The 13,268-nt window shown below is 37.8% G+C and overlaps 1 protein-coding gene and 1 long non-coding RNA gene across 10 annotated transcripts in view, besides 1 other annotated feature; one reads left to right on the top strand and one right to left on the bottom strand.

Annotated features, from left to right (window-relative positions):
* LOC105378234 (uncharacterized) overlaps positions 1–4,402 on the bottom strand; it is an 84,540-nt gene extending 80,138 nt beyond the window's left edge. For 5 of the 6 annotated variants that reach the window (XR_007059006.1, XR_944423.4, XR_944426.4 and 2 more), the window contains exon 1: positions 3,670–4,402. This is a non-coding gene — a long non-coding RNA (uncharacterized LOC105378234). Of the gene's footprint in view, positions 1–2,285; positions 2,337–3,669 lie in introns of all 6 variants that reach the window. The other variant, XR_007059004.1, reaches the window with a different exon arrangement.
* The window catches only part of SLC36A1 (solute carrier family 36 member 1), a 211,490-nt gene that overhangs the window by 87,941 nt on the left and 110,281 nt on the right, over positions 1–13,268 (top strand). For 2 of the 4 annotated variants that reach the window (XM_011537585.1, NM_001308151.2), the window contains exon 1: positions 4,510–4,643. The exons of 1 other annotated variant lie outside the window; for it this stretch is intronic. The gene's annotated coding sequence lies outside the window, so the exon portion shown is untranslated. Of the gene's footprint in view, positions 1–2,903; positions 2,920–4,509; positions 4,644–13,268 lie in introns of those variants that run through there. One more of the 4 variants, XM_047416924.1, reaches the window with a different exon arrangement.
* Positions 4,250–4,420: a silencer, noted in NCBI's record as "fragment chr5:150816347-150816517 (GRCh37/hg19 assembly coordinates)". NCBI's record gives its function as "represses an EF-1alpha promoter that drives an FKBP-Casp9 reporter gene in an ReSE screen in HepG2 liver carcinoma cells {active_cell/tissue: HepG2}" and the evidence as "EXISTENCE:reporter gene assay evidence [ECO:0000049][PMID:32094911]".

Below are 13,268 nucleotides of genomic sequence, written 5' to 3' on the forward strand. Positions count from 1 at the left end.
CTTATCCCCTGGTTATTCAATTAAACACTAATCTAGGTAATGCTGTGAAGGGGATTTGCAGATGTCATTAAAGTCTCAAGTCAGTTGACCTTAAGATGTGGAAGCTAGGAAGCTATCCAGGTGGGCTTGACCCAACCAGATGAACTCTTTAAATGCAATTTTCTCTGGTTGGGCAGAAAGGGAGGCCAGAGAGACCAGCAGCATGAGAAGGGTTTGATGGCTTGAAGATGGAGGTGGCCACATTTCAAGGAATTCAGGAAGTAGAAGCAAAAAGCAGTCACACAGCAAGAAGCCTGAGCCCTTAGTTCTATTACTGCCAAGAACTTGAATGAGCTTGGAAGAAAATGCTTCCCCAGTCACTTCTACATATAGAATACAGCCTGGAAACACTGTAATTGCAGCCTTATGAAATCCTAAGCAGAGGACCCAGTGAAAGCCATACCTGGACTTCTGACCTAAAGAAATGGTGAGATAATAAATATGTGTTATGTGAAGCTACTGAGTTTGTGGCAGTTTGTTACATGGAGGTAGAAAATGAACATACTCAATAAAGCATTGTGATTCTGGGATTCCAGTTTATAATTTTCAAAATAAAATACTCATTATAATTATTACCATGGTAATATGACAGGCTAGGTAACCAGGTTGGCTTTCCTGCTGAAAATAACTAAAACTTCTGAATAACATATATATATATATATATATATATATATATATATATATATATATATTTTTTTTTTTTTTTTTTTTTTTTTTTTTTTTTTGAGACGGAGTTTCACTCTTGTTGCCCAGGCTGGAATGCAATGGCAGGCCATTGGCTCACCGCAACCTCTGCTTCCCTGGTTCAAGAGATTCTCCTGCCTCAGCCTCCCAAGTAGCTAGGATTACAGGCACCCACCACCACATCCAGCTGTTTTTTTTTGTGTGTGTTTTTAGTAGAGACAGGGTTTCACCATGTTGTCCAGGCTGGTCTCAAACTCCTGACCTCAGGTGATCCGCCCGCCTTGGCCTTCCAAAGTGCTGGGATTACAGGCCTGAGCCACCACGCCCGGCCTGAATAACATATTTTAAAAAAATTCTTAATAATATTGAGGGGAGATCAAGAGAGCAAGGAATTTCTAGGTGAGTACTCACTCAGCCAGGTGAAGACAGGAACTCTGAGACCTGAGTGGAATGCAGCTACAGCTTCACTCCCACGGGTATTTGCTCAACCCAGTGAAGTTGAGCTTTAATATCATGGCCTTATGGGGCATGAGACAAATTCCGGAGCTGAGGACCTCTTCCTCAGAGTAAGAGTGAACTGGAAATAAATCAATATCCCACCCCCACCCTATTCCTTCCCTACCTCCCAATCAAGGGACTTGGAAAAAAAGTGACTGTCCTGAACCTAGTGCCCAGAGGATGGAGTAAAATTGTGGCTAAAATGTGGAATGAGAATTCAAGTTTCACTCTGTTCCACAGTCTACTTCATCTACCATGGTGGTCCAGAATACCTCCAGCCCAGAATGTAGTTCACAAGAACCTAGACTGATAGTTGCCAGCTGCTGGCAGAAGCAAATACAAAGTCTTTCAGGAGGGACTCACCTTCATTTCAGATCTTAAAGAATTTATGTAAGTAAAATTCCAAGAAACAGCAAAACAAGAGAAAATTTAAATATAGCACAAGAACTTTGCAAAAGAGAAATGTATGATACAAACGAAAAGTAGCTCTTTTTAACATATTTAGTAACAGAAAAAAATGTACTGGAAGATATGTACAAGGAGAAAGATACTCTGAAGAGTAATCAGGTGAAATGGAAAGTTAATTAAATAAAACTTCTAGAAAATAGAATTATAATAGTTGAAATTTAAAACTGAATATTAATTGAATTTTAAAAATTTAGTTGAGTTAATTTTAGTTGAAATGGATGGGCTTGATAGGAGATTATGCACAGTGAAGACAGAATTAGTGAATCAGAACTAGATCTGGGAAAGGTATTATTCATAATATAGTCCACAGAGACCAAGGGATGAAAAATCTAAAAGAAAAGTGAGGGAAAATAGAGAATAGAATGAAAGACCTAAATATATCCTACATCTGTCATGGACTGTGTATTGAAATCCTAACCCTCAGTGTGATGGTATTAAGAAGGGGGATCTCTGGGAGGTAATTAGGTCATGAGGTAGAGCCCAGAATTAGTGCTCTGAAATAAGAGACATGAGAGAGTTTGTGTCCTCTCTGCTCTTTGCCATGTGAGGATACAATGAGAAGACAGCCACATGGAAGCCAGGAAGTGAGCTCTCACCAGACACAGGATCGGCTGGCAACTTGATCTTGGACTTTTCGGTCTCCGGAACTGTGAGAAATAAATGTTTGTTGTTTAAGTCACCCAGCCTATGGTAATATGTTATAGCAGCCCAAACTGACTAAGGCAACATCAAATCAGACTCGCAGAAGAAAAGTTAAGAGGGAATATGGTAGAATAAATATTTGAAAAGATAATGGCTGAGAATTGTCCAGAAATGATGAAAGACACCAACCCACAGATTCAAGAGACCCAGTGAATTCCAAGCAGGATAAATAAAGGACACACGTATCTGGACACTTTATAGTGAAACTTCAGAACTTTAAAGGGATCTAAAGTCAGCCAGATTGGTGAAAAGTGTTACATTCAAAAGGGTTGCAGTGTAAAAGAAATTTCAAAAGGAAAAGAAAAGATTTGCAGTCAGTCTGTCAGCTGTTTTCTTAACAGCAGTGGAAGCCACAAGGTACTGGAATGATCACCTCAATATGCTGAGAGGATATAAACTATCTGTTAAGTGCAAAATGAAGACATTTTCAAACAAAAGAAATTGGAGAGAACTTCACTAAAGGAAAATTTAAAGTCCATATTCAGAAGAAGATCTGAGATGCAAAAGGAAATAAAGAACCCAAGAGAGGTAAATGTATGGGTAAATCTTGATTCTAATAATAAAGTATTATGGAGCATAAGGAAAAGAAACTTAAAATATGTGACATTATTATTATAAAAAATGGAATGCAGTGAATAGAGATTTTTTTAAGTGCCTATATTTTCTGCAGTGACTAAAGATATTGCTTAACTTTTTGTTAATACTTTATTAATTTATACATGTTAAAATTACTAGGGTATGGCTAGAGAATAGAAATAAAGTCTTTAAGTTCCAAATTACTAGAGAATAAAACAAAATAAAATAAGGGAAAATTAATCTAAAAGAAACTCAGTAAAGGAGAAAAAACATAATAGGTGGAAGATATAGAATAAAATAACAAGGTAAATATGACTATAAATATATCTGTAATTATTAATACAATAAATAGAATAATTTTGAAAATATCAAAATAATATTTATGAAAGACATATCTAAAACATAAGAATGCAGAAAGTTTAAAGTAAAAGGGATAGGAAAGATTTAGCAGGCAAATTTTACCAAAAGAAAGCCAATATATTAATATTAATATCAATAATTATTACTAGTGCCCCTGCTACTACTGTTTATTGAGCACCTACTATGTAATAGGCAATATATGAATTGCCTATTCATATATGAACATCCCTCTAAGGTAGTTACTTGAAATTTTTAAAGTGTAGTTTATATACAATAAAATGCACAGATCTTAAGTGTACAGTTGAATGAGTTTTGACAAATGAATACACTGGTGCAACTTACCCAGAAAGTTTCTTTTTGCTTGTTTGCAGTCAAACATCACCTCCCTCACATACCCAATAACCACTGTCTAGATTTTTGTCACCATAAATTAGTTTTGCCTGCTCTTGAACTTTATATTAATGAGATAATACAGCATGTATTCTACTCTTTCTAGCCTCTACAGTACTGAAAGGCAGATTGAAGGGTGGTTGGAGTGGATGTTGAGGGCCACCCCACCATATCCACCATTCTGCACCTTCCTATGGCAAATTATGATCAAGGACTCCAAGGGTCTAAGTGAGGGGTCACAGGTTCTCACACAACCATATGGCAAATTGTGACCAAGGAATCTTAGGGTCTATGTGAGTGGTCACAGGAGAACCCACAGATTCTCAAGCTGGTTGTAAAGTGTAACCTTGAACAAATGCCTCTGTCTCTCTGAGGCTCAGTTTCCAATGAGTAAAATGAATGAATTGCCATAGACCATCTCAAATAAATTCTAAACCCTAAAGCCACAGTATCATATATAATGATACATTATATATGTCCTAGGACTATCCAGTCACGTTTGGTAGGAGAAAGGTAGCTGAAGCTGGGAAAAGGACTCTCAGAGTTGCAAGATCTGAGAGCTGAACTTCTCCTATTCATTTCATTGGTGAGAAACAGAAGCCCAAACTGACGGGACCTGCTAGTAAGTGGCAGGGCTGGTCTCAGACTTTTTTTTTGGCTCCTACATCCTCACTTTTTCAGTGGCAATGGGTGGTTCTCCTCTCATCTGAGCACTCCCAGGCCCTTTGTTCCCATTGTGAGGTAACACTGAGGTCTGCCCACCCTACAGATGGGGCTTTGGGGGTTTGCTCCAGAGCTCTTCATCCGCCTGGGCCCAACCCTGGAACTATTCCTTTCAATGGTGTCTTTTCTTGCCTTGTTTCAGAAGGATCTACTAGTTGGCCCTATCTTGTGCCAAGACTGACAGCAAGGAAGCTGCTGGCTGAGTAAGAGTTTAGGGGAGGCTCTGAGTTGGGTGGAAGCCATGAACACAATTTAGGTAGAAAGGGGCTACAGCTTTGGAGAACCTGAGCCCAATAAGCTCTTGAAGTTGTCCCCTAACACAATCTTACTTTAACAATTAATATTCACATCTTTAAAAATGCTCATGTTTAAACTATGATTTATTTTAACCAAAGAATTTATAATGAAAAGCTATAGTCTCCTTATCTGACTTACTCTATCTAAAGCTGCTCTTTTTAGGACTATCTTTCTGTTTTTTAATCAGTGGTTTGATTGCTTCTTAGTCTTTTGGCTAAGATCAAGTGTAGTAAAACCAGTGGTTTGTTTTAGTTCTTTAGTTCTTCATTTCTCTATACAATATAGCTATAATGATATTTCTCAATTGATCAACATTATATTAGGTGAAAATTTGTACCTCTTAAATTCTCGTACTTTACTTCTCAATATAATTATTTTACTGTTTTAGTTCTTTATTGCTTACCTTCATAACTTTAATAATGATATAAACATAAAGCTACATTTATTTTAGATTATAAATAATATTCATTTCCTGTTGCTGCTATAACAAATTACCACAATTTAGTAGATTAGAACAATGCAAATGTATTCTCTTATAGTTCTAGAAGTCAGAGGTCCTAAAATCAAGGTGTGACAAGGCTGTGTTCTTCTGGAGGCTGTAGGGTAGAATCTGTTTCCTTGCTTTTTCCAGCTTCTAGAGGCCTCCTGCGTTTCCTTGGCTCATGGCGTCTTCCTCCATCTTTAAAGCCAGTAGAATAGAAACTTCTCTCCTCTCTGACCCTCCTGCCTCCCTCCTATTAAAAAACCTTGTGATTTATACTAGGACCACCCAGATAATCCAGCATAGTCATTTCACCTCGAGATCCTTAACTTCATCACATCAGCAAAGTCCCTTTTGCTATCTAAGGTAACAAGTTCCCGAGATTAATTAACGTCTTTGGGAGCTGTTACTCTGCCTACCACACCATACATTCCACTTTACCTGGGACAATTTCACTGTGTGCCCGTTGTTCTGGTGAAATGTTAACACAGCCTTTTTATTCTTAAAAGTGTCTCCACTTGAACAAATAAATTATATGAACACCCTACTTACCCAGTGCTTCCCAATCTTTTTCACATAACATGAAGGAAATAACACTTTATATGTCCTTGAGATCAAAGAACAGGCTGTTCTTAACTAGAGATTAAAAAAAAAAACACCTCAGGTGCTCTAGCTACCTTAGGACCCACCTGGCACTCAGCACCCCCTATAACTCATTCATGGTACACCATTGGCCACTGCACATGATTGGGAAAGTCTTCCTTATGTTAAAGCAATATAATGTGTTTAAAGCTTGTTCTTTTGTTGAGCTCCTGTGTGAGCAGCATTTTGTTCCAAGAAGAGGAGTGTACTTGGGTCTCATACATGTGCTCTGACACTCCTGTCATTGTGATCCTGCCTGCAGGTTGTCAGGCAGAGGTGTTCTCTGGCATCCTTTGACATATGCTCTGCAGGTCTCTGTCACTGCAAAATTCACCATCTCTCATGCACTCTCCCAGGCACCAGAGACCTGGCATTGGTGGCAGAGCAGTCTTGTTTAATCACAGGACAGAATTTTGAATTACTTGCAACATTTTTTTCTGAGTCCTCAGAGTGCATGCATCTATTACCTTTGCCACATTTTTTTTCTTTAAACATATTTCATTTACCACAAAAATACTATTGATATAATGTTTTATTGGGTATTAGTTCGTTCTAACACTGTATTAGTTTGTTCTTACACTGCTATACTACCCGAGGCTGGATCATTTATGAAGAAAGGAGGTTGAATTGATTCACAGTTCTACATGGCTGGGAGGCCTCAGGAAACTTACAGTCATGGCAGAAGGTGAAGGGGAAGCAGGCACGTCTTACATGGCAGCAGGAGAGAGAGAGAGAGAGAGTGCAGGGGAAACTGCCACTTTTAAACCATCAGATCTGAGAACTCCCTCAGTATCACTAGAACAGCATGGGGGAAACCACTAATGATCCAATCACTTGCCACCCAGGCCCCTCCCTTGACACATGGGGATTACAGTTCGAGATGAGATTTGGGTGGGGACACAAAGCCAAACCATATTATATCATAATTACCTCCTTTCAAATCATCAAAAAATCACAATAAGAAATGTGTAAAACAGGCTGGACATGGTGGCTCACTCCCGTAATCCCAGCACTTTGGGAAGCCAAGGTGGGCAGATCATGATGTCAGGAGATCAAGACCATCCTGGCCAACATGGTCAAATCCCATCTCTACTAAAAATACAAAAATTTGCCAGGCGTGGTGGTGTGTGCCTGTAGGTCCAGCTACTTGGGAGGCTGAAGCAGGAGAATTGCTTGAACTCGGAAGGTGGAGGTGGCAGTGAGCTGAGATCATGCCACTGCACTCCAGCCAGGGCAACAGAGTGAGACTCCATCTCAAAAAAAAAAGAAAAGAAAAAAAAAAAAGAAAAAGAAATGTTTAAAACAATAGCATGGCCTGAGGCACATTCCAGTTGTATTGATCTGGCCCCAGCACTTTTCCTATGTACTTGAGCTGATGATTTCTTGCTTCAGTGGCTGTTTTTCATCTGTTCCACTCCAGTGCTAATTTACTTTATAGGAGACACCCTCCTAAGGCACCAGCATGTCATATCTGATGGTGTTTGGTCTTCTTTATAGGAATTTTATTTTTTCTAATTTCCACTCCAAAGTTAAGGAATTTTCAAATTCATTTTTCAGCACTTGTGCCACTTAATAAATTCTTGAATTTTGTTGTGATTGGGTTGCCAAATATTGAAATCATAATGCTGATGAATGCTTATACTACAGCGAAGAATTACCCAGACCACCCACAGGAGTTTCATGAGTGTGAATAACGGCATTGCTCTCTGTATAGTGACAAAAGTAGGTAGGCCTTTTGTATCCCTACGTAACAGTGTAGCATGCTTTACAGTGTAGCAGGCAACACTCACCGCAGCTAGGGATGGGGCTGCAGCTCTGGTAAAGGAGATACAGGAAGGGCACCTACAGCATCTCCTAAATGCCTCATAGGGCTGCCACGAGGATTGACTCAATCAACAAGAAACTAGTTCCTGGCACATTGTAAGCATATTTTCTTTATTTTTTATTTTTTAAGATACAAAACCTGAGAATTTTAGAGTTAGAAGCCACTGTAGGGGGCAGTGGTCTTAACAGAGAGAGGCTTGACAGTAGGGCCATCAGTCACAGAATGTTCAGGAGGATGGATCAGGGACCCAAGGGGTCTCAAAAAGAGAGAAGGAGAGGGAAAGGGGACACTGGGTAGGGTTGCTATGACATCTCAGGGGCTGGTACTCTTGAGGGCTTGGGATGGGTAGAGTGGTTAAAAAAAAAAAAAGGAAGTTACATTCCTCAAGACTATGGAATGCAAAAGGATTAATTTCCCTAATATCTCTCAGCAGCATAACCCCTCATGTTATATATAGAACCTTTAAGCGCCTGATCTCATCTGCTTTTCCAGCAATCCAGGGAGGGAGGCAGAACCAAGGAGGGTTTTCAATCTCACTTTCCTGATGATGAAACCAAATGGAGATCAAAAGTCTTGCCCAGGTCACCCAGCTGGGAAATAAGGGGAAAAAAACCTTCAAATTACTTTCTACCACTCAGCAGAAATAAGTCACTACCAGGGGCTGGCCACACAACATGTTAGCACATGGCTAAAGCAAGTCCCTTCAGAAGCTTGTCCTTTAGGGCAGTGGTTCTACAGCACGAGAGAGCATCAGACTCTCCTAGAGGGCTTTTCAAAATGCAGATTGCTGTGCCCCCACAACCCAGGGTTTCTGATGCAGTAGGTGTAGAGTAGGACCCAGAATTTGCATTTCTGCAAGTTCCCAAGTGATGCTGGTCTAGGGACCACACTTTGAGAAGCACTGGCACAATGGTTAAAACAGAATGCATGCTAGTGATGTGCAGTGGCATGCACCTGTAGTCCCAACTACTCAGGAGGCTGAGATGGGAGATCACTTGAGCCCAGGAGTTTGAGGCTGTAGTGTGCTATGATCACTCCAATATGGGCAACATAGCAAGACCTCATTTCTAAAAAAATGAAACAAAAGGCAAAGAAATGGAGTGCATACTCTAAGGCAAAGTTTTTAATAGTATGTGCTATAAACAAGAGGTTGTATTTAATGTATGTTAATATACATCAGAGCTTCTAAGAAGACCTATGAAAAAACAGTTCTGCACATATTGAAAGTGGAGGAGACAAGTGGGTAGAAGGGGGAGAAATGAGAAAATTGTGAAGAGTAAAAGTCTTAAGCAAAACAATAAGTACTGGTATTTATGATTTTAAATTTAAACACCATAAACCTGTATATTTCTATACATACGTATATATTTCTGTAATTGTATAATATAGGGTTTGGAGAACAATACACACATGCTGGCACCTGTAAACCTTTGGAGAGGGGAGTGAATTTGGGGAAAGGGGATTTTCAATTTATATATTTCTATATTGTCTAACTTTTAAGAATATATTAACCTATTATATAATTTTTTACTGAATATCTTAATGCTTTTATTGAAGTATAATTGACATACAATAAACTGCACGTATTTAAAGCATGTAACTTGATAAGTTTCAACATATATATTCACCTGTGAAATCATCACAATCAAGATGGTGAACAAATTTGTCCCCTTGAAAATTTCCTCATGCCGCTTTATAATCACCCTCTCTCCTGTCTCTCCTCCGCATTCCCAGGCAATGGCTGATGTGTGTTTTCCATTACTTTATATTATTTTGTATTTTCTAGAATATTATATAAATGAAATATTTTCCTAATGTCTTTTGCTTAGCATAATTATTTTTTGATTTATCCATGTATAATTATTTTGACATCCATTTTGTAGCTGTATTAATAGTATTTTTTGGTTGAGAACATAATTTTTGTTTTAAAATTATTTTTCAAATAAATGTTTTTGTGTATATTTAGCATTTACAACATGATGTTATGCGATACTTATAGATAGTAAAATTGTAACTATAGTGAAGTGAATTGCCATCTCCATCATTTCACATAGCTACCCATTATTTGGGGTTTCTTTTTTTGTGGCAAGAGCAGCTAAAATTTACTCATTTCACAGGAATTTTAAATACAGTGTGATTTTTTTATTTTTAAAAAGTTATTTTTAATTGACATAACTATACATATTTATGAGGTACACAGTGATGTATACAATGTACAGCGATTACATCAGGGTAATTAACATATCCATCATCTCAAACGCTTATTTCTTTGTGTTCAGAACATTCAAAACCCCTCTTCTAGCTATGTGAAAATACATCCTATATTATTGTTACCTATGCTCATCCTACAGAGCTATAGAACTGATTCCTATCTAGCTGTAATTTTGTATCCTTTAACAAATCTCTCCCTATCCTTTCCTTCCACCCTGCTCAGCTACTAGTAACCTCTGTTCTACTGTTTGTACAGTACAATTGTATAACCTATAGTCCTTATGTTGTCCCTTTGAGCTCTAGACTTATGGATCCTACATATCTGCTACTCTGTATCCTCTCAGCTGCATTTCTCCACTTCCTTCCTCCAGCACTCCTGGGCCCTGGTCACCACTGTTTGATTCTCTATCTCTGTGTATTTGACTTGAAAAAAAAGATTCCACATATAAATGAGAGCATGCAATATTTTTTCTTTCTGTGTCTGGCTTATTTCACTTAGCATGATGTCCTCTAGTTTCATCCATGTTGTGGCAAATGGCAGGACTCCTTTCTTTTTTTAGAAAAATGTTTGTATATATACCACAGTTTCTTTATTCATTCTGCTGTCAATAGACACTTGGATTGTTTCTATATCTTGGCTGTTGTGAATAAAGCTACAATGAATATGGGCATGCAGATATCTTTATGGGGTGGTGATTTCATTTCCTTCGAGTATATGTCCAGAAAGGGGATTGATGGGTCATATGGTAGTTCTATTTTTAATTTCTTTAGAAACCTTTATACTGTTTTTTTTAAAAAAAGAAACTTTTACACTGTTTTCTATAATGGCTGCACCAGTCTACAGTCCCACCAACAGTGTACTAGAATTCCCTTTTCTCGACATCCTCACCAATATTTGTTGTCTTTTGACTTTTTTGATAATATCCAACCTAACATGTATGAGGTGATATCTAATAATGATTTTGGTTTGCATCTCCCTGATGATTAATGATGTTGAACACTTTTTCATATGCTCACTGAGCATTTTTATTTCTTCTTTGGAGAAATGTTTATTCAGGTCCTTTGCCCATTTTTAAATTGGGTTGTTTTTCTATTGCTGAGTTATATGAGTTTTTGATACATTTTGGATATTAAGCGCTTATTAGACATAGGGTTTGCATATATGTTTTCCAATTCATAAGCTGCCGTTACACTTTGTTGATTACTTCCTTTGCTGTGCAGAAGCTTCTTAGTTTGATATAGTCCTATTTATTTATTTTTGCTTTTGTAATCTGAGCTTTTGGTCTGATATCCAAAAAAATCATTGCCAAGGCCAGTGTCCAGGAGCATTTCCCCTATGTTCTCTTCTAGGAGTTTTGTAGTTTCAGATCTTACATTTAGGCCTTTTATCCACTTTGAGTTGATTTTTATGTACGGTGTAAGATAAACATCCAATTTCATTCTTTCTCACATAAAAACCAGTTTTCTCAGCACCGTTTATTGAGGAGACTGTCTTTTCCCTATTGTGTTCTCTTGATGCCCTTCTTTAAAATTAGTTGACCATATATGTTTGAATTTATTTCTGGGCTGTCTATTGTGTTCCATTGGTCTATCATATCTGTTTTTGTGCCAGTACTATACTGTTTGGATTACTATATCTTTGTAATATAATTTTGAATCGGGAAGTGTGATGCATCCAGTTTGTTTTTCTTTTTCAGAATTGTCTTGACTATTCAGGGTCTTTTGTGGTCTCATGCAAATTTTAGGATTGTTTCTTATATCTCAGTAAAGAATGCCGTTGGGATTTTGATAGGGATTGCATTGAATCTGTATATTGCTTTGGATAGTATGGACATTTCCACAATGTTAATTCTTCTGATCCATGTGCATGGGATATCTTTTCATTTATTTGTGTCTTCTTCAATTTATTTAATCATTGTTTTATAGTTTTCAGTGTACACCCTATTCATGTCCTTGGTTAAATTGATTATTGAGTATTTTTTAATGCTATCACAAATAAAATCATTCTCTTTATTTCTTTTTTAGGTAGGTAATTATTTGTGTATAAAAATATTATTGATTTTTTAATTTTTTTTTGAGATGGAGTCTCACTCTGTCACCCAGGCTGAAGGGGCGCGATCTCAGCTCACTGCAACCTCCGCCTCCCAGGTTCAAACAATTCTCCTGCCTCAGCCTCTCAAGTAGCTTGGACTACAGGCATGCACCACCATGCTGGGCTGACTTTTGTATTTTTAGTAGAGACAGGGTTTCACCATGTTGGCCAAGCTAGTCTTGAACTCCTGACCTCAGGTGACCCACTGCCCTGGCCTCCCAAAGTGCTGGGATTACAGGCATGAGCCACTGAGCCCAGTCATGTATGTTGATTTTTATGTCCTGAAAATTTACTAAATTCATGAATTATAACAGTATTTTTTTAATCTTTGGGGTTTTCTACATATAGGATGATGTCACCTGCAGATAAAGATAATTTTACTTTTTTCTTTCTGATTTGGATGCCTTTCTTTCTTTTGCTTTTTTGGCTGATTGCTCTTGCTAGTACTTCCAGTACTATGTTGAATAGAAGTGGTGAGGGTGGGTATCCTTGACTGCTACTGGATCTTGGTGGAAAAGCTTTCAGTTTTTCCCTATTAATTAAAATGTTAACTGTGTGTTTTTCATAAACGACCTTATTATGTTGAGGAATGTTCTTTCTATACCTAAACTATTGAGAGTTTTTTTTTATCAAGAAGGTATGTTGGGGTGGGGGTTAGGGAAGGAAAAGATGTTGGACTTTGTCAAATGCTTTTGCCAGGCCAATTGAGATAACCATGTGGTTTTCATTTTTCATCCTGTTAATATGATGTATTATATTGCTTGATTAGTGTATGTTAAACCAGCCTTGCATGCCAGGGATAAATCCCACTTGGTCATGATACATAATTTTTTTGATTGTTGTTGAATTCTGTTTGCAAATATTTTATTGAGGATTTTGTACCAATGTGCATTAGCGAAATCAGCCTGTAATTTTCTTTTCTTGTGGCGTCTTTCTCTGGCTTAGGTATCAAGGTGATGCTGGCCTCATAAAATGTGTTTGGAAGTATTCCCTCTAGCTCCATTTTTTGGAAGAGTTTAGTAACAAACCTTCTTCTTTGAATGTTTGGTAGAAGTCAGCTGTGAAGCCATCTGGTCTTGTTGGGAAGTTTAAACAGAAAACCAGAAAGTCAGATAGTCCCTGTCTCATCTTCAATCTCTTTATTTGTTATTAGTCTGTTCAGGCTTTCCATTTCTTCCTGATTTCAATCTTGGTAGGTTGTATTTTTCTAGGGATTTCTCCATTTCATCTGGGTTATCCAATATGTTGGCAAATAATTGTTCACAATAGCCCCATATGAT

Source organism: Homo sapiens, chromosome 5, assembly GCF_000001405.40.
Source record: "Homo sapiens chromosome 5, GRCh38.p14 Primary Assembly".
Classification (NCBI taxonomy): Eukaryota; Metazoa; Chordata; class Mammalia; order Primates; family Hominidae; genus Homo; species Homo sapiens.